The 25,698-nt window shown below is 40.9% G+C and overlaps 1 protein-coding gene and 1 pseudogene across 4 annotated transcripts in view; one reads left to right on the top strand and one right to left on the bottom strand.

The window, feature by feature from the left end:
• Positions 1 to 25,698, bottom strand: part of TMSB15B (thymosin beta 15B) — a 55,272-nt gene that overhangs the window by 7,855 nt on the left and 21,719 nt on the right. Inside the window, exons 1-4 of one of the 4 annotated variants that reach the window (NM_001350212.2) lie at positions 3,849 to 3,945; positions 2,278 to 2,344; positions 1,950 to 2,066; positions 596 to 1,033 (exon numbers count right to left, since the gene is read on the bottom strand). In NM_001350212.2, coding sequence (NP_001337141.1) covers positions 996 to 1,033; positions 1,950 to 2,049 — 138 coding nt within the window. In that variant the 5' untranslated portion in view covers positions 2,050 to 2,066; positions 2,278 to 2,344; positions 3,849 to 3,945 and the 3' untranslated portion in view covers positions 596 to 995. Of the gene's footprint in view, positions 1 to 595; positions 1,034 to 1,949; positions 2,067 to 2,277; positions 2,345 to 3,848; positions 4,552 to 25,698 lie in introns of those variants that run through there. The other 3 variants (NM_001350211.2, NM_194324.4, NM_001350213.2) reach the window with 3 other exon arrangements.
• Positions 4,183 to 5,244, top strand: DPPA3P1 (DPPA3 pseudogene 1; annotated as a pseudogene).

Raw genomic sequence — 25,698 nt, 5'->3', positions numbered from 1 at the left:
GCATATTAATCAGGAGGTCACAGGTGACAAAATTCAGACCATAACATTTATGCTCACCATGAACACCAGAAATGTTTAGTTCATAAAACAGCAAATTCTGTTCAGTAGAAAAACCGTACCAGAAGTTCAGTGCTACAGGTCATTAGAAGATGTGATGTGCTTAATATGGTGTTTGGTAGCAAGTGCCTCCTGCCCCTTTCTCCATCCAACTTCAGTCTTGGATGTTAACTCCCACTAAGCTGAAAAAGACTTTCAGAAGGCAAGAGAACCCAGCTTGAATTCCAACCCTTATTCAAATTGAGCAGATTACTTCAGACCCTGTGTTTTCATTTCCTCATTCTGAGATAAGGAGGTTAGTCCACATGACCTTCTCTCCCAAGGTTCTCTAACTCTGTGATTCCAACTATAAAGAAAAAGCACCTACCATCCCCAAGTCAGGAACCACTGGACTTGGACAGAATTTAGTATTTTCCCCCAGGACTAATCTGCTAAAAGTTTTCCTTCAACCATTTTGTTTGAGTGTAAAAGGTACCTTTGTGTACTTTTCATTCCTTAGAATACCACCAGAATGAACCACAGAGTCAGACAACAACGATTATATTTATTATTTTATTGCTACATTGGAAGTGAAAATAAACTGTAAGAAGCTGCCAAAGGATGCAACTTCATGAAGATTATGAAACTATTGAGGCACCCATTGTAGAAAGTTAAAATTGGCTTATCCTGCATGAGGTGCAAGGACTACCTACACAAAGGTCATCCATGGCAAGGTTATTGACAGCATCTGCCATTTGGAATTTACATACCAATGGGAAGTTTAAAAAGGAACTTAAGGAAACATTCACTACCCCTGACCTCTTAACCAGGGAATATAGGTGAGAAGAAATCAGAAGATGTCTGAAATCTCTACAAACACACAGGTTTACAAAAAAACAAGCCTAAAACCAAGACTGTCAGGCAATGCTGAAATCTGCTCTTTGGAGGAGATCCCCATTTTATGATGTTTGAACACACTCTTTCTCCTGCTGGATAGCTGGGGAAAAAGAAACCAAAAATTACAAAAGTATTTTCCTAAGACTAAGTTCAGCTTCTTCCAAAAGAGCTCTTTGTAAGTCATTGAAGGCTGCCATACATGCTTTAAATTTAGAATGCCAAGGCATTAAACACAAAACTCAGAGTGGGGTGTGTGCCTGCATGTGTGCACACATTAAGTACCTGAACTACCAATTAGAAACTACATCAACTGTAGGGTTTGTTTTTCCAAATGCTGTTGTCATTTTTTCAGATTATTCAAGACTGAGGAGTAAGTGAAGTACTTTCTTCAGATTTGTCTATCACTATACAGTTAGAAAATTATACACTTTCAGATAATTTTAACTAATATTGCAACTCTCAAATAAAACTGACATAACAAAAGGTGCCCCTTGGCTTTTGTGAATATGCTTAGAGTTTCTCCAGCAGGCTATAACTCCAGAGGGCAGAACCAATCAATCCCTTGAATCTGAGAGCTTTAAGCATACTAAGATCTAAATTTGTTCTCACTTTATCTTTTCATCAGATATAGAAGGTCAAAACTGCAGAGTCTACAGGGTTCGTTAGGGATAATATTATGGACTCAAATTTTTAAATGTAGAAAAATGCCAAATACCCAAAAGTAGACAAAAACTAAGTGTTTTTTAGTGCTACATCCAATATTCCAAGATTGGTTTTAATGTGGTTTTTAATAATTTTCCAACAAAAAACTAGTTTTTTATTCCCCCATCACTACTGGGCCCATCATGTGAGAACCAGAAGAAAACTATTTGATAGTTTTAACTGTTGCATTAAATACCATGGTACTCTAATTATTGCTTACTTTGTGTAAAAAAAATTACTAGAAGATAGGTTTATTTACTGAACCTATTAACTTCCTCTATTGTTTGTTTCCAGTAGAACCCCACATGACTTACTTTCCTTTGAGGGAAGAGTATTTTTTTCTTCAGTATTAGTTTTCTTCAGTTTTGACCTGTCAAACTTCTCCACTTCCGACAAGTCTGGTTTATCACTCATCTTGACTAGAAGAAAGCCTGAAAAGAAAAAACTTTTTTCTTTTTTTGAAACAGCGTCTTGCTCTGTCGCCCAGGCTGGAGTGCAGTGGCGCAATCCCGGCTCACTGCAACCTCCGCCTCCTGGGTTCAAGCAATTCCTCTGCCTCAGCATCTCAAGAAACTGGGATTACAGGCACACGCCACTATGCCCGGCTAATTTTTGTATTTTCAGTAGAGACGGGGGTCTTACCATGTTGGCCAGGCTGGTCTGGAACTCCTGGCCTCAAGTGATCTGCCCGCCTCGGCCTCCCAAAGTGCTGGGATTGCAGGCGTGAGCCACCGCGCCAGGACAGAAAAAAACATTTTTAAGAAAACTTACCTGGCAGAACTATCTTCGGACTAAGGGATCACAAGCAAAAATTTTCACATTTCCTATCAATGTATATTCTACCTGCTCATTTTCAACAGAAAAACAGCAACAGATATTAGAAAAGTTATATTTTTGTTAGAATAATTTCAACTCCACATCATTTGCCGTTTCTGATAGGCAGTAAATGTCATTGGATCATAACGCACCAGAAACCAAGATGCTCTAGAAACACAGAGCCATTTGTCTGACTCTTAAAATCACAGCAAGGATAAAATGGAGGTGATAGAAGCACAAGACCAGACAGGGATAGAAGAAAAAATAAAGACTGGTTTTAACCAGGTAATTATTTTGAAACAGAACATAGCACCATTTGAGCATCTTCACTTTCTATTTACTTTTGGTTTTGCCATTTTTCTTGGGAGATGGGGAGCAGCACACAAAAAAAGAATGAGATAAGTTGTATTAATTTCTATCTATTTTAAATCCCCAAAGACGACAGTACATTAAGGCACTACAATACACGTCTCATAATAGCTCCTTGTGGCACTGGTTTGTAAACGCTGTAAGAAGGGACAGCTAACTAGGATCAGACCCAGGACTTCAGCAGAACGGAATAAACCAAATAGAAGTGGGTCTTCTTTCACGTTTTCACTGCAGAGAGGGAGGAGATGAGGCTCAGACGTGCGTAGCTGTGGACCTGACGAAATGCCTGGTGCCCTGTGAAAGTCTCGAGTTTGTTCAGAAGAGACAATAGGATATACCAGGTAGAGCTTTCATGAGCAAGCCCGGCCCCACCCTGGTGGAGTAAGACACTTCGTCTAGTCCCTGGCGTAGAATGCAGAGGCCCCCAAGCAGTCAGAAGTGTCGAACATGCCTCCATTCTGTCGAGGTTACCCTAAGACCCTCCTCTGCCAAGCGATCAGACGCCAAGCTCGGAGCTGGGAAATTGGAACTAACCAATAAATAATAGCAGGGCCGGGCGCATAGGCCAGTCTGTCAGGAGCAGTTTGCATACTTTTTCAAATAACTATTAGCGTTGTTAGACGCCCAGTCTAACGGCCACGGGAGGGAAAGGAACCAGGGCCCAGCCCCACAAGGCCCATTCCGGGCGGCCCCCAAACTCTTCATCCTCGAAGCCTCTGACCTGCAGCTACCGCGGACTGGCCGCTTTAAGGGTCCCCTACCCCTCCAACCACCGCCTCCCACCCCGACTCCCCGGGGCCTTCTTTCCAGGGACCGGCCCCCGGGAGGGCTCGGCATCGCTCGCAGAAGGCGGCGCCCCAGAAAGACAAAGGCTCGGACTCGCCGGGCCTGGCGGCGGCGCAGACACCAAGCACCAGCCCCAACCCCAGCCCCTCTGGCTCCCGAAGGCGCGGCATCCCCCGCCTCGCGACCCCCACGCCTTCCCGTCCCCATGGTCCTCTGGCTCCTGCGAGGCCGCAGGTACTCACCTGAAGGCTTGAAGACTCGTGAAAGGCCGTACGCGGGGCTGAGACCCAGGCTGGCTCCGCACCAGGTTAGCCTTCCCGCCCAGAGCCCTGCAGTGCTAAGCCTTCTAGCAGGCGCCGCCCCAGCCCTCTCTGATTGGCCGAGGGTTTCCGGACTCGCCTCCTTCCCCTCCTCCGCTTGAGCCTCCAGAGCCTGCGCCCACCATCTCTTCTAAGATCAGGAGCTTGGTGACTTCAGAGCAGACCTCGCCCTCCCCAGGCCCCACCTCCCAGGCCTCTCCCACTGCTTTAGTCCTGAGGGTCCACATTCCCTTCATCCGAAGTACACTCACTCTTGCTCTTTCCGGGCTACCTTGTAGCAATTTGAGGCTCCGTCATCAGTTTCTGCTACGTTTCAAAGATCCAGGAGAAGCTTAGTGTTGTGTCAAGACGCCGATGGACCCATCACAGAAGTTTAATCCAACCTACATCCCAGAGTCTCCACAAATGCTCACCGAAGAAAATTCCCGGGACGATTCAGGGGCCTCTCAAATCTGCTCCGAGACGTTGATAAAGAACCTTAGTAACTTGACTATCAACACTAGTAGCGAATCTGTTTCCCCTCTATCGGAAGCTTTACTCCGTCGAGAGTCTGTAGGAGCAGAAGTCCTCAGGGAAATCGAAGATGAGTGGCTTTACAGCAGGAGAGGAGTAAGAACATTGCTGTCTGTGCAGAGAGAAAAGATGGCAAGATCGAGATACATGTTACTCGGCAGAGTTCGTATGCATGAAAGAAGACCAACAAACGAGGAGCCTAAGGGAGTTAAGAAGGAATCAAGACCATTCAAATGTCCCTGCAGTTTCTGCGTGTCTAACGGATGGGATCCTTCTGAGAATGCTAGAATAGAGAATCAAGACACCAAGCCACTTCAGCCATAAATCTTATTCTTGCACCTTTTTTTCTTGCTGGTAATTTTATATAGCAGGTTGAGAAAGCTAATCTATGCTAGAACAGACTATACACCAATAATTTTGATAATGAGTTCTAGGATGTATTTTTCTTCTTGTATCTTTTTCTTCCTACTATGATACTAGTAATTCATAAGGGATCTGTGTAATCTGAATGTATTTGAATAACTTTAGCTCTACTGTTTGATTTGACCCAAAGAATCCAAGACGATATAAGTATTCCCATGTGTCTTAGAAGCCCAAAGTCAGTGAGATGAAACCCAACATCAAGAAATTGAAGCAAAGTTACTTGTGGATAAAGAAAGCATTAGGTAGTTTGGCTATAGCATAATTAGATTTTCTGGCTTTCAAAAATTTGAACTGCAATCACAGCAAACTTTGTTATTTTTACAGTTTTCAGTACAAAAAGGTGTTTATATAGAAACAATAAAGTTGACATTTGAGTACCTTTAAAAAAAAAAAACAAAGTACACTCACTCTTTCACAATAACAGAAGCCTCTGCAATAAGCAGACACATTTTGCCCAGTGAGCTTAGAACATCTGTAACACAGAGGTCCAAGCTGAATGACCGGTATATAGGCTCTCTAGGCTTTTTATAGCCATTGGGGCCTAAGGACAACCTAACAGTAGGTTGGAAGTGGGGCTCGGTGTTGTCTGCTCTAATCCTTGGCCACGTCGTGGAGTACGAGTGCTCATGGTGAGGGTGGGTAGTTCAGGGCCATTCACCCCTACAACTGGACATTTCTGTGACAGTAGTGCTCTCCTGTGAAATGTAAAAGTCACATTTGCAGCTTTCTCGGCCACAGAACACGATAGCAGTCAGTTTATAATCACAGAACAACTGAGGCTATTGCTATTCACCTTTATATCCCCAATCCCTAGCACTTTGGCCCACAAGACACATTGGTTGTGGAGATGTATGTGGATTGAAGTAATAAATCCGTGATAGGGAGGAATTTTTGGACACTAGCACCACCCAGTGTCTGTTGGAAGAGAAAATTGAGGATCCGGTAGTTACTTAAAAGGACTAAACGTTCAAGATCATTTTCTGGATACTCACCCAGAACCTTAGCGCTTTAAGGTAAGATGGAGGTAGAACTATGTCTTTTACTTGCACCCCATGTATGGTGGTATAGATCTATATAGATCAGAAATCATTCTTTCCACAAGGATTTCTCAAGCCTTCCCCACCTCACTTCATTCCCTTTTCTTTGCTCTTGTAGCACTTTCTGTTAATTTGAGAATTGTGTATGTTTGTTGGAGAAACTTTCAAAACAGAAAAGCATACTCATTCAACAAATAATATTAATTGAGTACCTACAATGTCCCTGGCATTAAATATAATAAACACCAGTGTTTCCACTACTCAGATTTCAATGTTGTTAACATTAGGTATATTTACTTTGTCTTTCTTTTAAGGAATGAAAACTTTACCGAAAAAATAATTGAGGTTTCCTTGACCTTCCCTCCACTTCCATTCACCTTCCCACTTCCCTAGGGGTAGTCCTATCCTGAATGTGATGTGTAGCTTCCAGCGTATTTTTTTTTAAGTTCGGGGGTACATGTGCAGGTTTGTTACATAGGTAAACTGTGTCATGGGTATTTTCTACAGATTATTTCATCACCCAGATATTGAGCCTAACACCCATTAGATATTTTTCCTGATCCTCTCCATCCACCCACCCTCCACCCCCTGAGAGGTCCCAATGTGTGTTGTTCCTCTCTGTATCCATGTGTTCTCATCATTTAGCCCCCACTTACAAGTGAGAACATGCAGTATTTGGTTTTCTGTCCCTGCATTAGTTTGCTAAGGATAATGGCCTCCAGCTCCATCCATGTCCCTGCAAAGGACATGACCTTTTTCTTTTTTATGGCTGCATATTATTCCATGCTGCATATATATACCATATTTTCTTTTATCCAGTCTATAATTGATGGGCATTTAGGTTGATTCCATGTCTTTACTATTGTGAATAGTGTTGCAATGAACATACCTGTGCATGTGTCTTTATAATTGAACAATTTCTATTCCTTCGGGTATATACCCAGTAATGGGATTGCTGAGTCAAATGGTATTTCTGTCTTTAGGGCTTTGAGGAATCGCCACACTGTCTTCCACAATGGCTGAACTAATTTATACTTCCACCAACAGTGTACAAGCATACTTTTTCTCCACACCCTTGACAGCATCTGTTATTTTTTGACATTTTAATAATAGCCATTCTGTCTGACGTGAGATGGTATCTCCTTATCATTTTGATTTGCATTTCTCTAATGATCAGTGATGTTGAGCTTTTTTTATATGATTATTGGCTACATGTATGTCTTCTATTGAAAAGTGTCTGTTAACATCCTTTGTCCACTTTTTAATGGGGTTTGTTTTTCTTTTATACATTTATTTAAGTTCCTTATAGATGCTGGATACTAGACTTTTCTCAGATGCATGGTTTGCAAAACTTTTCTCCTATTCCGTAGGTTGTCTGTCTACTCTACCAAGTTTCTTTTGTTGTGCAGAAGCTTTTGTTGCAATTGCTTTTGGCATCTTTTTCATGAAATATTTGCTCGTACCTGAATGGTATTGCCTAGGTTGTCTTCCAAGGTTTTATAGTTTTGGGTTTTACATTTAAGTCTTCAATCTATCTTGAGTTAATTTTTCTATATGATGTAAGGAAAGAGTCAAGATTTAACCTTCTGCATATGGCTAGCCAGTTATGCCAGCATAATTTGTTGAACAGGGATCCTTTCCTCCATTGCTTGTTTTTGTCACGTTTGTCAAAGATCATATAATTGTAGATATATGTTCTTATTTCTGGCTTCTCTAGTCTGCTCTATTGGTCTATGTCCCTGTTTTTGTATCAGTACCATGAGGTTTTGGTTACTGTAGCCCTGTAGCATGGTTTGCCTCCAACTTTGTTCATTCTGCTTAGGATTGCCTTGGCTATTTTTTGGTTCCATGTGAATTCTAAAATATTTTTTCTAGTTCTGTGAGGAATGTCAGTGTTAGTTTAATAGGCATAGCATTGAATCTATTAATATAATTTGCTTTGGGCAGTATGATCATTTTAATGATATTGATGCTTCCTAGCCATGAGCGTGGAACGGTTGTGTTATCTCTGATTTATTTGAGCAGTTCTCCTTTTTTATTTGTAGTTCTTTTTTTTTTCTTTCACTTCCCTAGTTAGCTGTATTCCTAGATACTTTATTCTTTGTGTGCAATTGTGAATGGGAGTTCATTCCTGATTTGGCTCTTGGCTTGACTGTTGTTGGTGTATAGGAATGCTAGTGATTTTTGCACATTGATTTTGTATCCCGAGACTTTGCAAAAGTTGCTTATCAGCTTAAGAAGCTTTTGGGCTGAGACGATGGCCTTTTCTAGATATGGGAGCATGTTATCTGCAAATAGGAATAGGTTGACTTCCTCTCTTCCTATTTGGATGCCCTTTATTTCTTTCTCTTGCCTGATTGCCCTGGCTAGAACTTACAATACTATACTGAATAGGAGTAGTGAGAGAGGTCATCCTTGTCTTGTTGCCTGTTTTCAAGGGGAGTGCTTCCAGCTTTTGCCCATTCAGTATGATCCTGGCTGTGGGTTTGTCATATATGGGTCTTATTATTTTGAGGTATGTTCCTTCAACACCTAGTTTATTGAGAATTTTTAACATGAATGGATGTCGAATTTTATTGAAAGCCTTTTCTGCATCTATTGAGATAATCATGTGGTTTTGTCTTGAGTTCTGTTTATGTGATTAATCAAATTTATTGATCTGCATATGTTGAACCAACCTTGCATCCCAGGTATAAAGCCTACTTTATTGTCTTGCATAAGCCTTTTGATGTGCTGTTGGACTCAGTTTGCCAGTATTTTGTTGAGGATTTTTGCATCGATGTTCATCAAGGATATTGGCCTGAAGATTTTGTTGTTGTTGTTGTTGTTGTTGTATCTCTGCCAGATTTTGGTGTCAGGATGATGCTGGCCTCATAGAATGAGTTAGGGCAGAGTACCTCCTCCTCAATTTTTGGAATAGTTTCAGTAAGAATGGTACCAACTCTTCTTTGTACATCTGATAGAATTCAGCTGTGAATCCCCTGGTCCTGGGCTTTTTTCGGTTGCTAGGCTATTACTGCCTGCATTTCAGAGCTCACTATTGGTCCGTTCAGGAATTCAATTTCTTCCTGGTTCAGTCCTAGGAGTGTGTATGTGTCAGGAATGTATCCATTTCTTCTAGGGTTTCTAGTTTATGTGCATACAGTTGTTCATAATATTCTCTGATAGTTTTTTGTATTTCCGTGGGGGGTCAGTGGTAATATCCCCCTTGCCGTTTCTGGTTGTATTTATTTGAATCTTCTCTCTTTTCTTCTTCATTAGTCTGGCTGGTGGTCTATTGATTTTATTAATTTTTTTCAAAAAATCAGCTCCTGGATTCAGTGATCTTTTGAATGGTTTTTCGTGTCTCTATCTCCTTCAGTTCAGCTCTGATTTTGGTTATTTCTTGTCTTCTTCTAGCTTTGGGATTTGTTTGCTCTTGATTCTCTAGTTCTTTTGGTTGTGATGTTAGGTTGTTAACTCAAGATCTTTCTAATTTTTTGATGTGGGCATTTAGTGCTATAAATTTCTCCCTTAACGCTACTTTAGCTGTGTCTCAGAAATTCTGGTATGTTATATCTTTGTTTTAATTAGTTTCAAAGAACTTCTTGATTTCTGCCTCAATTTCATTATTTAACCTAAAATCTTTCAGGAGAGTCTTTCATGGAACTGTAATACAATTACCATTTCCATGTAATTGTATCGTTTTGAGTGAATTTCTTAGTCTTGATTTCTAAGTTGATTGCACTGTGGTCCAAGAGACTGTTTATTATTTCAGTTGTTCTGCATTTGCTGAGGAGTGTTTTACTTCCAATTGTGTGATCAATTTTAGAGTATGTGCCATGTGATGATGAGAAGAATGTATATTCTTTTGTTTGCAGTAGAGAGTTCTGTAGATGTCTATCAGGTCCATTTGATCCAATGCAGAGTTCAGGTCCTAAATATCTTTGTTAATTTTCTGCTTCGATGATCTGTCTAATACTGTCAGTAAGTCTCCTACTATTATTGTGTGGAAGTCTACGTGTCTTTGAAGGCCTCTAAGAGCTTGCTTTGTGAATCTGGGTGCTCCTGTGTTGGGTGCATATACGTTTAGGATAGTTAGATCTTCTTGTTGAATTGAACCCTTTACCATTAAGTAATGTCCTTCTTTGTCTTTTATTATCTCTGTTGGTTTAAAGTCTGTTTTGTCAGAAACTAGGATTGCATCACCTGCTTTTTTCTGTCTTCCATTTGCTTGGTAGATTTTTCTCCATCCCCTTATGTTGAGTCTATGTCTGTCATTGCATGTGTGATGGGTGTCTTGAAGATAGCATACCAATGGGTCTTGGTTCTTTATCTGGCTTGCCACTCTGTGTCTTTTAATTGGGGCACTTAGCCCATTTACATTTAAGGTTAGTATTGATTTGTGTGGATTTGATCCTGTCATCATGATGTTAGCTGGTTATTTTGTAGGCTTGGTTATGTGATTGCTTTATAGTGTCACTGGTCTGTGTACTTTAATGTGCTGTTGTAGTGGCTAGTAACAGTCTTTCATTTCCATATTTAGGGCTTCCTTCAGGAGCTCTTGTAAGGCAGATCTGGTGGTAACAAATTCCCTCAGCATTTGCTTGTCTGAAAGGGATCTTATTTTTCCTTTGCTTATGAAGCTTAGTTTGGCTGGATGTGAAATTCTGTGTTGGAATTTCTTTTCTTTAAGAATGTTGAATATTGGCCCCTAATCTCTTCTGGCTTCTAGGGTTTCTGCTGAGACCTTTGCTGTTAGTCTGATGGGCTTCACTTTGCAGGTGACCTGGCCTTTCTCTCCAGCTGCCTTTAACATTTTTTCTTTCATTTTGACTATAGAGAAGCTGAAGATTATGTGTGTTAGGGATGAACTTCTCGTGGAGTATCTTACTGGGGTGGTCTGCACTTGCTGAATTTGAATGTTGGCCTCTGTAGTTAGGTTGGGGAATTTCTCATGGAGTACATCCTGAAATATGTTTTCCAATTTGATTCCATTCTTCCCATCTCTTTCAGGTACACCAAGCAGTCGTAGATTCAGTCTCTTTACATAATCCCATATTTCTTGGAGGTTTTTGTTCATTCGTTTTCATTCTTTTTTTCTATATTCTTATCTGCTCGTCTTACTTCAGAAAGGCAGTCCTCAAGCTCTGAGATTCTTTCTTCTGCTTGGTCTATTCTGCAATTAATACTTGTGATTGCATTATGAAATTCTTGTAGTGTGTTTTGCAGCTCTATCAGGTCAGTTACATTCTTCTCTATACTGGCTATTTTGTCTGTCAGCTCCTATGATATTTTATCATGATTTCTAACTTCCTTGCATTGGGTTACAATGTACCCCTGTAGCTCAGTGAACTTCTTTCCTATACATCTGTCATTTCAGCCATCTTAGCCTCAGCCTGGTTCCAAACCCTTGCTGGACAGGTGATGCAGTCATTTGGAAGAAAGAAGGTACTCTGGTTTTTTGAGTTTTCAGCATTCTTGCACTGATTCTTTCTCATCTTTGTGGGCTTACCTACCTTCAACTTTTGAGGTTGCTGACCTTTGGATGTTTTTTTTCTTTTATCCTATTTGATGACCTTGGGGGTTTGATTGTGGTATAAGGTGGATTCATCCATCTGGCTTCGTTTCTGGAAGATACTAGGGGGCCAATGTTCAGCTCCCAACCCCTGGACTGCATGCTGTATCTCTGGGGGACTTGTATTGGGCCCCAACTTTGTTCTCTGGCTCCTTGATGTTTGGAGTCTACTGTACTGGGGGGATCAAGGTGCAGCAGCTACAGCCAAGTGCTAGTGGATGCAGAGGTGCCTGCCTCCCTGTGGGCATTCACCACTGCAGCAGAGGCAAAGCAGCTGTGGGGAGCAGGGAGCAGGGGGCCACTGCTGGAGACTGTGTAGGCTGTTACTTCGGAGGTAATGTTGGCTTGGGGCAGAGTTCTGGCTGGCTCAGATCTGGGTGCCTTCTCTGTGCCCCACAAGCAGGAGTGATCACTCACGGTATGGGCAGATCCCCTGTTCACTGTTCGCTGGTGAGGCAAGACTTGCTGGCTCTGTGGCCACCAAGGCTCCATCTCCAACAGTAATCGGCAGGGGTTGGGGGCCTATTGCACTCCCACATGCTGGCAGGGCAAGTAAAGCAAAACCCACCCATGTAGACAGGTGCCCGCAGAGTGATGTGGGGAGTTGCTGTGGGCTTGAGGGAAGCTATATTATGGGGAGTTAACATGCAGGCTGGTGCACGGCCATAGGATCCGCCTCACTGGAGCTCTCCACAAGTCAGTCATGATCCACCAGCACAGAAGCTATGGTGTGGGCCCCAGAGCACGCAAGACTGCCCTGTAAGCAGGTGTGGCCAGGCTGGGGCCCTGGGAGAGGACAGCAGACCAAGGAGTGCTCAGGTCTGACCAGCCCCGTCTGATGTGCAAGACTGCCCTGCAGTGATCAGGTCTGATAGTTCCCATAGTGCTAAAGTCTCTTATGGGGCATGTTGAGCTTAAAGGGGTGGCCATGCCTGGCCATGCTCTACTACAGATACTCCTGCAACAAAACCTCTAGGCTCCACATCAGCTATCTTGCCAATTCACCACTTTGCTTGTCTCCTGGGGGCTCCACACCAGAGAAATGTGAGTCAGCAATAGCTCAGTACAGTTAGCCCAGGATAGAGTTTTTGTGCTGTAAGCCCAATCCAGGGGTTTCCTGTGTGGTGACAAGCAATGGAGGGTGTGTCGGACCCCTCAGAGACAAACTGGCATCTTCTCCTTGGGTTGGCTGTAGTTTGTTGGAGGTGTGGAGAAGGCACTTAGGGTCTCTGCTTCTTTGTTAGCCCGAAGTTAGCAAGGACGGCTCCACTGCAGAAGCAAAGATGGTGGCCTGCCCTTTCTCTGGGACATCTGTCCCAGGGAATTTTCAAATCTCTGTCAGCCAGAGATCACCAACAGGGGTGGCTGGAGGCCCCGGTTGGGAGGTCCCTCCCAGTAAGGAAGAATAGGATCAGGACCCACTTAGAGAAGCAGTCTGGCCATGTTTTGGTAGAGCAGCTGTGCTGTGCTGGGGGATCCCTTCTGCCCCGAGTTGGTTTGGACTTTCCAAATCCCAAAGGCTGGAAGGGCTAAGTCACCCAAACAGTAAACATGGCGGCCCGCCCCTCCCCCTTGGAGCTCTGTCCCAAGTAGGTGCAGCACTGCTACTGGTGGCTAGCTGTAATTCCAGGCCAGTAGGTCTTATCCTGTGAGGTGTTGTGGAAGTGGGGCCCACAGACCATGGCTGCTTGGCCCACTGGATTCAGTCTCTTTCCTGGGGTAGGTACAGGGGTCTAACATCCTGCTTTGCTGGAGTTGCAGCTACTTTTGCTAGGATGCCCGGATAGCCAGAGTTTCTAAAGTTCCTGGTTCTCCATGCATGTCCGCTCTCCTGCCGGCACTCCACATAGCTCTGTGTGTGAGACTGAAGGCCCTGATGGAGTGGGCTCATGACGGGATCTCCTGACCTGTGGGTTGCAAAAATCCATGGAAGAAGCATGGGTTCCCAGGACCACACATTCACTCACCACTTCTTTCGGTGGGGAGCTTCCGTTGGCTTTGTGTTGCACCTGGGTGTGCCGTCGTCCTGCCTTGCTTTTCTCCATTCTCCATGGGTCAAGTTATTTCCTTGATTAATCTCAATGCGAGAACCTGGATGCTTCCATTGAAAGTGCTATATTTACTCTCCCCTTCCATTCCACTCCATGACAGCCGTGCACACTAGCTGCTTCTAGTTGGCCATCTTGGCCCTCTGGCCTGTTTTTCTGTCATTACAGATTAATGTGACTTCTGAGCACAGCGAAGGAGCAAAATGAAGCCTTGTTTGAACCAGTGATCCAAGTCTAAGACCACACCCCCCACATCCCTTGGGGTTGACAAGAAGCTCCAGATACCCACCTCTCCATAGACCAAACCTCAAAATTCTCCCACACTGATCTCCTTTGAATCTATTAGAACTCGACTAATGATAACATTTATCTCCATTTGTGCCAGTCACCACAAGTATCCTAAGATACCTCTCAACTGCTACATTCTAACCTCCATAAGGTTGTGTCCACGTCCCCTCTTTAGGTCAGTATCTCACCCCTCCGCTACTAATAAAACACAATGCACCCTTGCTAATCCTCCATAGTCTAAGCTTCTTCTCTGAATGCCCCCTTCCCTTAGGACTCTGGATCCCCTGAAGCCCACTCACAAGGAGCAGATGATTTTTCTCTCCTACCACCACTGTACCACAGATCCTAAAAGTTGTGTAAGTGACTTTACTGCTCCTCATTGCTGCCTTTAGATAGCAATCCCTCTCCCACCTCCCTAAAAACTTCCAGCTTTTGACAGCTAGTGTCACCAACCAGCTCTTATTGCTGTTGTCAGAAATATTCTCCCCTCATTTCTCAGGCATTTTGTCTCTGAGAACATGGTCATTCTCAATGGTAGTTGTCCTGTCTTAATTGTTAGTGAGTTCAATATCGATCATTCTAAAGCTAGGCATGGTGGCACTCACCATAGTCCTACCTACTCAGAAGACTAAGTTGGGAAGGTTACCCAGGAGTTTGAGTCAGCCTGGGCAACCTAGCAAAACCCCCATCTCAAAACAAAATCATTCTGATAATCTGACAAACTAGCCCCTTCTGTTCCTTGAACATTTCTCCTCCATGACATTGTCCTCAACTCCACTTCAGTTACTCACTCATGTACTCACTCATGTAGCCATACCTTAGCTCTTGTCACTGTAATTTTGGGGACCCCTCTGTGATCTCAATTTCAAACATCCCTCTTTCTGACCATACGCTCCTCTCTTTTCAGCCCACTCACTTTGGACCCTATTTTCTTTCAACCTCACCAGAATCTCCAATCCATTGATCTTACCAGATTTTTACTATCTCTTCTTCCCTTTATTGTCCTCTCTCTTCTCCTTTCTTAGCTCAGATGTCATGCTCAGTCTTTACAACCACTCGTCTACATATACCCTCCACTATCCTGCCCCTCTCGCACTTTGTGTTGCTTGGCAAAAGCACGACCCCTGGCTAAATCCAGCTACATCCCCATGAGCCTGCACCCATACAGCTAAAGCTGGCTAGGGGAAAATTCACAACCACATGACTAATCTTAATTTAACTTCATGACCATGAACTCCAACCAGACTTTAATGCTGCTGGGCAATCATGCTACAGGTCTCCTGTCCCTTAACTTTCTGACTTTTCCAAGTTATTATTTTGCAACTTCTTTCTCCTCAAACTCCTAATACTGCCTCCATATCCTAACTAATTCTTCCACTGCTTCCTGTTTCACTAGAAAATTGAAGCCATCAGAAGAGAACTTCTACAGACTCCTACCACCACATCATTTCACCTATCTGCACCCGCATCCATACACATGGTCTTCCTGTTGATATCATATATGATTATTGTGGGCTGAATTGTGTCCCTCCAAAATTCATATGTTGGAGTCCTAACACCCAGTACCTCATAATGTGACATAATTACCTCTTAAGTCAAAGCGAGGTCATTAAGATGGGTCCTAACCCAATACTACTGGTGCCTTTATAAGAAGAGATAAGGACACAGATAATACAGACTGAGGGCTGGCCATGTGAAGACACAGGGAGAAGATGGCCATCTGCAAGCTAAGGAGAGAAGCCTCGGAAGAAACCAGCCCTGTGAGACAATAAATGTCTGTTGTTTAAGCCACTCAGTGTGTGGTATTTTGTTATAGCAATCTTAGCAAATTAATATAATGATATTTCCAGACTGCACTCTAAAGCCAGCCACTCTCCTTTCCCACTAGATATCTTCTTCTCCCATCAACTGAATGATATCACTACCTTCTTTCTCTCCCCCAACTCCAGCATTATCAATGTTGTGCTCTCTATTGGGTCATTTCAATCAGGATTCGATTATACTGTTATTTCTCATCTTTATTATATAACACACACAAATATTCATCATATGTACACTGTATACATATATATAAAAACAGGCCAATTTTTTGTGGAATTTGAAGCATTGATTACAAAATTGGAAAAAGCATATATAGTAAATTGTTTTATATATATATATATATATTTTTCTCTTGGCTCCACTTTCCCACCTGCCATGACCCAATTTCTTTGCTCCCCTTTGATGCAAATCTCTTTTACAGATACATATGAAATATGTTTCTATACACAATATAAGGCTTCGTTGGAACCAGTGTTCCTGTCTAAGACTACATTCCCTTAGGCCTTCTACCTACATTAGTTTGGGGCCAAGAGGGAGCCCCAGATGATCATCCTTTCCTATCTCCCACTAGCTCTGCCTGTTCTGTTCCTCACTCACTCTGCCCCAGCTGTAGCCTCCCTGCTGTTCCTCAAACAAGCCATACTCACTATTGTCTTAGAGCCTTTGGAATGTCTGTTTCATCTATCAGGAAAGTTCTTCCTCCAGATACCTATTTTGACTACTCTCTCATCCCTTTGTAATAGTGGTCTCTATTCAATGTCCTCAATTTTCCTCCTCCCATTCTCTCTTGGACACATTCTAATCAGGGTCCACCTGATTTGTGGGTCCACCTCCACAAATCAGTTGAAATTGCTCCTGTCATGGTTATGGTCATGAGTGACTTCACATTGTTCAATACAATGATCAATTCTAAGTTCTCACCTTACTTAACCTATCAGCAGCATTGGGCACGGCTAATGAGTCACTCCTCTTTGGTTCACTTTCTTCCCTTGGCTCCCAGGACACCACACTCTCTCATCTCACTGACTGCTTCTTCTCAGTTTCCTTTACTGGCCCCTCTTCTTCCAAACCTCTTAAAATGAGAATGCCCCAGGGCTCCATCCCTGTCCTTTGCATTTCTATGTATACTCCCTTGGTGATCTCTTCCAGTCCAATAGCTAATACAAAATATTTCTAGGTTAACTTCCAACTTCATGTCTGCAGGCCAGATCTTCATCCTAAACTCCTGTCTGATATATACAACTGCCTACTCAGCACTTCCACTCAGATGTCTATTGGGCATTTCAAACTCAAAATGTCATAGGCAGAACTCCTGATCTGTTCTTTAAAACCTATTGCTCCTACTGCCTTCCTCACTTCAATTGATGGCAACTCCAGCTGTACATTGGCTTGAGTCAAAAACCTTAACATCACCTTCAATTTCTTTCTTTCTCTCCAATCCATCAGGAAATCGTTTTGGCTCTACTTCAAAATGCATCCAAAATCCAACCACTTCTCACCATCTCCATTGGTACACGTAAGGTTGAATCCACCATCATCTCTCATCTGGATAACTACAACAGCTTTCTAACATGCCTCTCTGCTTCCACTCTCATTCGCCTACAGTGGTACATTCTCAACACAAAAATTAAAGAGATCATTTTAAAATATAAATCAAATCATGACATTTCTCTGCTCAAAATCCTGCAAAGACACCGTATTCCACTTGGAGTCAGAGTCAAAGTCCCTGCAGAAGCCTGACATTTTCTGGTTCTCCATTGTATCTCTGATCTCTGATCTGCTCTCCTCATTCTGCCACAGCTGTGGCCTTCTTGCTATTCTACAAACAGCCCGGGCTCACTCTTGCCATAGGACCATAGCAATGTCTGTTCCTCCAGGAAGGAGGGCTCTTTTCCAATAGAGCTACTCGTTTAAATTCTCTCACATTTTCAAGGCTCAAATCTCACTGTATCAATGAGTCCTACCTGAACCATCCTACTTAATGCTGCAAACTGCCCACCCTGTTTTCTCTATCCCCTTAACATCCTCTGCTTTTGCTTCATCGCCATCTAACACACTATATAATTTATTTACTTATGCTAATTATCTTATTTCAGTCTTCCCACATGGAAATGTAATGTCTACAAGGGAAGGGATCTCTGCTTTGTTCACTGATCCCAAGTACCTAGAATTGTGCCTACAATAAAGATTTGTTAAATGAATCATTTTCTGGTGATTTTTTGCATTATGACAAGTTAGATCACATCTGTGTGTAATCTTCTACAACTTCTTCTTTTACACAACATTGTGAATTTTCACCCAACATTATGAATTTCTAAACATTTTACCTATGCTTATACTGTAACTGATAGAGGTGCATTTAAATGATGTATAATATTCTGTTATATGAATATTCCATAGCTCACTAATGCATTTCCATCCTCATAGACATTTAAGTTGCTTCCATTTTTTCTATTACAAGCAATGCGGCAGTTCATGTTCTTGCAATAGCCTCCTCTTAGTCTATAAACATGTCTCCTGGAATTGAAATTACTAGATGACATAGTACATGCATCTTCAACCTGACTACACACTGCCAAATAAGTTTCCACAGTAATTGCATCAATTTACATTCATACCAGCAGTGTATGAGTCCCATTTTCCCACATTCTTGCCAATATTTAGTATTTTCAGACGTGTTTAGCCAATCTAATGGGTGAAAGTGAGTATCTCCCTAGTGTTTGAATCTGTATGTCCCAGATTATTTCATGAGGATGAACATCTTTTTTTAAATTGACTTTAAGTTCTGGGATACATGTGCAGAACATGCAGGTTTGTTACATAGGTATACATGTGCCATGGTGGTTTGCTTCACCCATCAACCCGTCATCTACATTAGGTATTTCTCCTAATGCTATCCCTCCCCTTGCCCCCCGCTCCCCGACAGGCTCCAGTGTGTGATGTTCCCCTCCCTGTCCCCAAATGTTCTCATTGTTCAACTCTCACTTATGGGTGAGAACATGCGGTGTTTGGTTTTCTGTTCCTGTATTAGTTTGCTGAGAATGATGGCTTCCAGCTTCATCCATGTCCCTGCAAAGGACATGAACGAGGATAAGCATTTTTTTATAGGTTTCCTGGTTATACACATTTCCTTTTCTGTGAAGTACCTTTTCAGGTCATTTACCTATTCATCCTTTAAGTTGTTTGTTTTTCAAATATTGCTTCTTAGGGGTTCTTTGCATATGTTGTATCTAATTATTGGTCAGCAATATATTTTGCAAAAAGTTTCTCTAAATCTGTTGCTGGTCTTCTTTTTTGCATACATATTATGTTCATTTACAGCAAATGTAACTGAATTAAACCTGTTTGAGGAAACACATGACTTTTAGTATGCGTGCAACTCTACTGGTGAGAGCCATATATAAGAAGGTATCCTGTTAGGCAGATTTTCAAAATGTTTTATTTTAGTACAATATACATACATACATATCTTAGGTGTATATCTTGATAAATGTTCACAAAGTAAAGACACCCATATAACCAGCTCTCAGATCAAGACACAGTACATTATCAACCTCTCCCCTCCCTGCCATAAGCTTCTTTTGTGCTCCTTTCCAGTCACTATGCCCAAGGATGATAACCACTCTCCTGATTATTAGTTTTGCCTCTTTTCTGCTTTAAATAAGTGGGATCTTTCAGTATATACTCCTCTGTGTCTGGATTCTTTTGCTCAACATTAGGTTTGTGAGATTCATCCATGTTGTCGTGAATTTGTAGTTAATTCTCCTTTATGTGCTACATTTTAATGTATGAATATACTACAATTTATTTATTCATTCTACTGCTTGTGGGCTCTTGGTTTTTTTTTTCAGTGTGGGGCTATTACAAATAATGCTTTTCATAATGTCCTTAGTGAATATACATATGCACTTTTCTTGGGTATATACCAAGAAGTGGAGTTGCTGGTCATAGGGAATGCATAGGTTCAGCTTCAGTAGATAGAGCCAACTAGTTTTCCAAAAAGCCTGTACCAATCTTTGCTCGTCTTTTCTCACTAAGGTTACTTCTCACGTCTTTTATTATACAATGTTTGTCGAATCAAATATATCAATCTTTTCCTTTAAAACTTGTGTTTTTGGATTTTGTTTAGGAAATTATCTACTCTGAGGACATGATTTTTTATTAGTTTTAAGATTTTGGTTGTGTACTTTGGTCTTTTATATATCTGGATTTTATTTTGTATAAGGCATGGATCTAGATTTTTCTCCGAGAAGGGAAACAACTGTCCAATCACATTTATTAAATTATTCATCCATTTTTCACTCCTATGTAATGTCACTTCTTTCATATAACAATTTACTGTATGTACTATATGTGCCTTTTCCAGTTTTGTAATCAGTGTTTCAAATTCCACAAAAAATTGGCCTGTTAATATTTTGATTGGAATAATATTGGATTTATGGACTAATTTGAGAAGAATTACCAATTTGCTGACTTAAAGTTTCCACACATACAAATGGAATATTGTTGGGAAAGACAACCCATCATGGTCCCTAAGCATTTATGCGTACTCTTGCTGAGTATGCCAAAAAGGTAAGGCACTGATGACTCTTCACCTTGGCCATTCTCAGGACCATGTTTTCAGTGAGAAACCCTGAAGGATGGGAAAACATCACAAACAGCAGGTTTATTTCCATGTTCTATAAAAGCAGTGGATCCTCCAAATGTATTGTTTCTTTCCTGTAATGCAACCCACTGTGCAGCCATCCATCATTGGTCCTTTGCATTGCCCTTGTGGGATTTGGGGGGCATTGGGAACGAACACAAGCCAACAGGAAGTTCTAGCTACTGCTTTTTCTGAGTAATAAAGTCCTTTGCCTCTCACCCAAGATTCTCATGTCTTCTGACAGAATACATGAAACTGTGTGTGTCAGGCTAATTTGTAAGTTTGTAAATAGGGTCAAATTCTAGACCTTTTGTAGTTCTTGACAAGAATATTCCTCCACTTTCTGATTTTTATAAAATTTCCTTTAGTACAATCTCATACTTTTCTGTATAATGGTTTATACATCTGTTAGCTATCTTCCTAGCTGCCTTATAGATTTTGGGAAAATCATGAATGGGTTATTTTTCCTATTGCATTTTCTAATTGATCGCTGAATTCCTCGTGCTTTATACATGTCACTAGTATAGCTTCTCATATGGAATAATGTACTGTTTCCCTTGATAGAATGTTGGCTTCTCTTGAGAGCAGAAACCATGCCTTATTTATGTCTATATTCTCCCAAGGAAACATTTAATTCAACTAATATTTATTGAGCATTGTTATGATTTGAATATGGTTTGTGCCCACCAAAACTCATATTGAGACTTGGTCCCCAGTGTAACAGTGTTGAGAGGGGGTGGAATATTTAACAGGCTTCTGGGTCATTAAGGATTCACTCTCATGAAGGGATTAAAGCAGTCTGGTGGGAGTGAGTCAGTTCTTACTCTTTGTGGGACTGAATTGGTTATGCAAGTGCAAGTTGTTGTAAAGTGAGGTTGCATCTCGTGTTTGGTGTTTTACTCTCTTTGCAGGGACCTGGTTCCCCTTCCATTTCTCTGCCATGTTTTGCCACAGTACAAGGCCCTCATCAGAAGCTACCAGATGCAGCTGCCCAATCTTAAACTTCCCAGCCTGCAGAACCATGAGCTAAATAAACCTCTTTTCTTTGTAAATTGCCCAGTTTCAGGTATTCACTTATAGCAACACAAAATGGACGAAGACAAGCATCTACTATGCATCAGTTGTGAAATAAAAAGAGGTATACAATTGTAAATAAAGTGCCTGCTCTCAAGGAATTTACAAAATGTGAAGAAAACAGATACAGCCACAAAATATTTCTGTTAAGAAAGTCATATTGGCCGGGCTCAGTGGCTCACGCCTGTAATCCCATCACTCTGGGAGGCCGAGGCTGGTGGATCTCCTGAGGCCAGGAGTTCGAGACCAGCCTGGGCAACATGGTGAAACCTCGTTTTTACTAAAAATACAAAAGCCAGCGGGGCATGGTGGTGCATGCCTGTAGTCCCAGCTACTCAGAAGCTGAGGCAGGAGAATCGCTTGAACCCAGGGGAGGTGAGATCACACCACTGCGCTCCAGCCTGGGTAACAGAGAGAGGCTCCGTCTCAAAAAAACATAAAAGAAAGAAAGTAATATTATGTATTATAACAAAGGTATGAACAAAGTGCTGTGGGAGAAGGGGAAATTCATTGTGACTTGGAAGATTCTGGAAGTCTTCAAACAATAAGTACTGTTTGAGTTGCGCCTCATACGGTGATCTAGACTGGTGCAGATGGAGAGCTAGGGAAGGGAGGTAACTTCTCATACCATGCTTGGCATTCAGAGCCTTCTACAATATTGTCCCAAACTATCTTCCCAAACCCAGCTACTATGTCCTCCAGGAAATAAAAGTTAGTCTTTCATGCCAAATTCATCCATCAGTCGTATTCTAAACCCAAAATGTTTGAGTTCCCACCTTGTTGTTTTGCACTATAGCACAATGACTAAGAACAAAGAATCTGGAGCCACAGGAATTTTATTTTTGTCCAGATTCTACAACTTACTGGCTATGAAGTCTTGGGCAAATAAAGCTACAAATGGTGCTTATCTCATAGGATTGTTTGATCAATCAGGTAATTCTTGTAAAACTTTGGCATAGTACCTGGTACAGAGTACAATACTATGAATGGTACCTCTATTTTATCCATCCCTCTGATCTTAAGTCAATTGAAACATACTTATTGTATATCCACTATGTGCAATAGATTTTATTAAGTATCATGAATAAGAACACAAAGATGAATAACACCCTATTTCTGCCCAGTGATGTCAGGTAGAGGATAAAAAATACATACATACATAATCACAAGTCAAGGCAAATTAAAAGACCTGGATTCTTCTAGCTCTTGCCCTCGATAACATGAAGAAGTCGGATCACATGATCAACAAGACCACTTCTAAATCTAATATTATAATTCTGAGACATCTATGATTTTAAATGTTACATCAAGGTTGATAAGTACCAGGGGAAAGTGGAAAAGAGGGAAGCCTAATTCTATCTGAGAGAGTCCAAGAAGCCTGCATAGAGGAAATGACATTTGAATTGGGCCTTTAAAAATGGATAGCATTTGTTGAAGGAAGAAATGGGGGCAATGGAATTCCAGGAAGAGGAGAAAAGAAGAACAAAGAGAAATGTAGGGCACATTTGGGAAACATCCAGTAGTCTTGTGTAGTTGGGACATCGAGATTCATAATATTTAAGTAGAGGAAAAAGAGGTGAAAAAGGTAGGCTGGTGTCAGATTATGGAGGACCTTGAATGTCACGCCAAGTGGTTTGGATTTTATCTTGTAAGCTATTAACATTGGAAGGTGACAAGAAGAGCCAATAAAAAGAGTTGTGGCAGTTCTTCAGGTATAAAATCAGGAAAGACTGAACTAAGGCTGTGGGTCTAATAATTGAAAAGAAAGGACAGAAGTCTGTCATTTTTTCATATACTACTTTGTGTATATTCTTGAATGATTTTTAATCGAACATGTTTGGAGGGCAGGGCCAATTCATCCATTCATTCTACAAATATCTATTGAGCACTTACTATGTGCATGACAATCTGGGCACTGGAAATAGAGTAATGAGTGAGAGAGTCACGTTCCCTATATGATAGTATCCTTTGTGTTGAAAGTACCAGAAAATGATGATACCATTGGAAGTGGAAAGACTAGGGACAGATTGGTAAGGAGAATAAATAGTTTAATCTTTGACATATTAAGTTTGGAATGCCTATATGTCAGTGAAAACATCAAGTAGGCAGTTGGATACAGGTGTCTTGAGCTTTCATGTACTCTATCTCAGAGTTGTCCCATTTGTACTCCATCTCCATTATCATAATAAATTTTTTAAGGTTTGCTGTTTACTTTCTGAAAACCTAATGAATTAGTAGCATCTTTATAGATAATAACATAGTATATTATATTAATCAACATATGTTATACTGAATATGTCAACATGAGGCATCAACACATATAAACTGATTTCTTAAGAGATATATGTTTTTCTTTTAAAATAGGACATTATATGTAAGAAACTCATTATAATCCCATTTATGATAATCTGCTTTACTATTAGTAATTGTTTAAAAATTAAGCAACAAATAAAAATCCCAAAAAAAGATATGTTGAACACTATGAAGAATATTATGAAACTTGGAGAAATGTTAAAATTAGAATTTCAACCATTATTTTTGTTTACACTAAAACTCAACAGTTAAGTTTTGCTGAAATTAAAATCTCAACAGTAATTTTGTGAAAAGAAAATTTCAGCATCTATTTCTGTGCATATTGATAAGAATAGTTAAGAAACTCTTGAGGAATAAGAATGAGGTGGGAAGACTTCCCCTATCAGATATCAAGACATTTATTAGTATTACTGTTACAGGTAATAAGGCAATGCTGTATTGGCACATGATTAGATAAATAAACTGGTAGAATAGAACAGACAGGTCAGAAATCTTCCCAAAAATATATGAACACTTGATATTTGACAGAGTTGGCATTGTAACTGAATGGGAGAAGAAAAGGCTTTTCAGCAAATGATATTGGGGCAATTGGATATTCATAAAGAAAACATTGGACCTCTATTCTCATATTCTACATGAAAATCAATTCCAAGTATATTAAAAACATAGATGTGAAAGTCAAAACCATAAAAATTTTAAATGTTATTATAGTATAAAGGAATATCTTCATGATATTGGGGTATAGAACGATTTCATTGAAAAGACACAAAAAGCACTTACCATAAAAAAGGATTGATAACTTCGGTATCTATCTTATAATTAGAATTTATGTTTATCAAAAGAAATCATTAAAATGGAAAAATAAGTGACAAAGTGGGGAGAGATATATGGAACACATATAAAGGAGAAAGAACTAAAATTAAAACAGCTTCTACAAATTAATTTGAAAAAGTTACACAACTCAACAGGAAAAAATGGCAAATGTCTTGAATAAATGCTTCACAAAAGAGGAAATACTAACGTTCAATAGGCATGTGAAAAGATGCTCAACATTATTAGTAATCAGGAAAATCAAATTATAAGATGCCATTTACACCCATTAGATAGGCAAAAATTAAGAAGTCTGATAATACCAAGTGTTGGCCAGCAGGTGGAGAAATGGGAACTGTTAAACCTGGCTAGTAAGGGTGTGAACTGGTACATGCCATTAGGAAAAGTTAGGCATCATCCAATTAAATTGAAGGTGCTCATATTCCATAAACCAGAAATTCTACATAAATCCCCTAGAGATATCTGTGTTTATGTACATTACCAAGAAAAATCATGGTAGCACTGTTTTGTAACAGTCAAAAATTGGATTTCATCTCACCCCAGTTAAAATGACCATTATCAAAAAGACAAAAAAATGACAGATGATGGCAAGGATGTGGAGAAAGGGGAACACTCATACACTGTTAGTGAGAATGTAAGTTGGTACAGACATTATGGAAAACGGTATGGGTGTTCTTCAAAAAACTAAAAATAGCACTGTCATTATGATTCAGCAATCTTGCTGCTGTGTATGTTTCCAAAAAAAAAATGTTTTAAACCGTATATTGAAGAGATGTCTGCACTCCTATGTTTATTGCAGCACTATTCACAAGATCCAAGTTATGGAATCAACCTAAGTGTCCATCAATCAATAAATGGATAAAGAAAATGTTGTATATGTACACATTTTAATAGCATTGAGCTATAACAAAGGAATGCGAGACTCCTGGGCAAGATGGCTGAATAGGAACAGCTCCAGTGTGCAGCTCTCAGCAAGACCAATGCAGAAGGTGGGTGATTTCTGCATTTCCAACTGAGGTGCCAGGTTCATCTCATTGGGACTGGTTAGACAGTGGGTGCAGCCCACGGAGGGCGAGCAGAAGCAGGGTGGGGTGTCGCCTCACCCAGGAAGCTCAAGGGGTGGGGGAACTACCTCCCCTAGCCAAGGGAAGCCGTGAAGGACTGTGCCATGAGGGACTGTGCTATCTGGCCCAGATACTAAGCTTTTCCCAAGGTCTTTGCA

This window comes from Homo sapiens, chromosome X (genome assembly GCF_000001405.40).
Source record: "Homo sapiens chromosome X, GRCh38.p14 Primary Assembly".
In the NCBI taxonomy this organism is placed as follows: Eukaryota; Metazoa; Chordata; class Mammalia; order Primates; family Hominidae; genus Homo; species Homo sapiens.
This window is presented reverse-complemented; position numbering and strand designations above follow the sequence as displayed.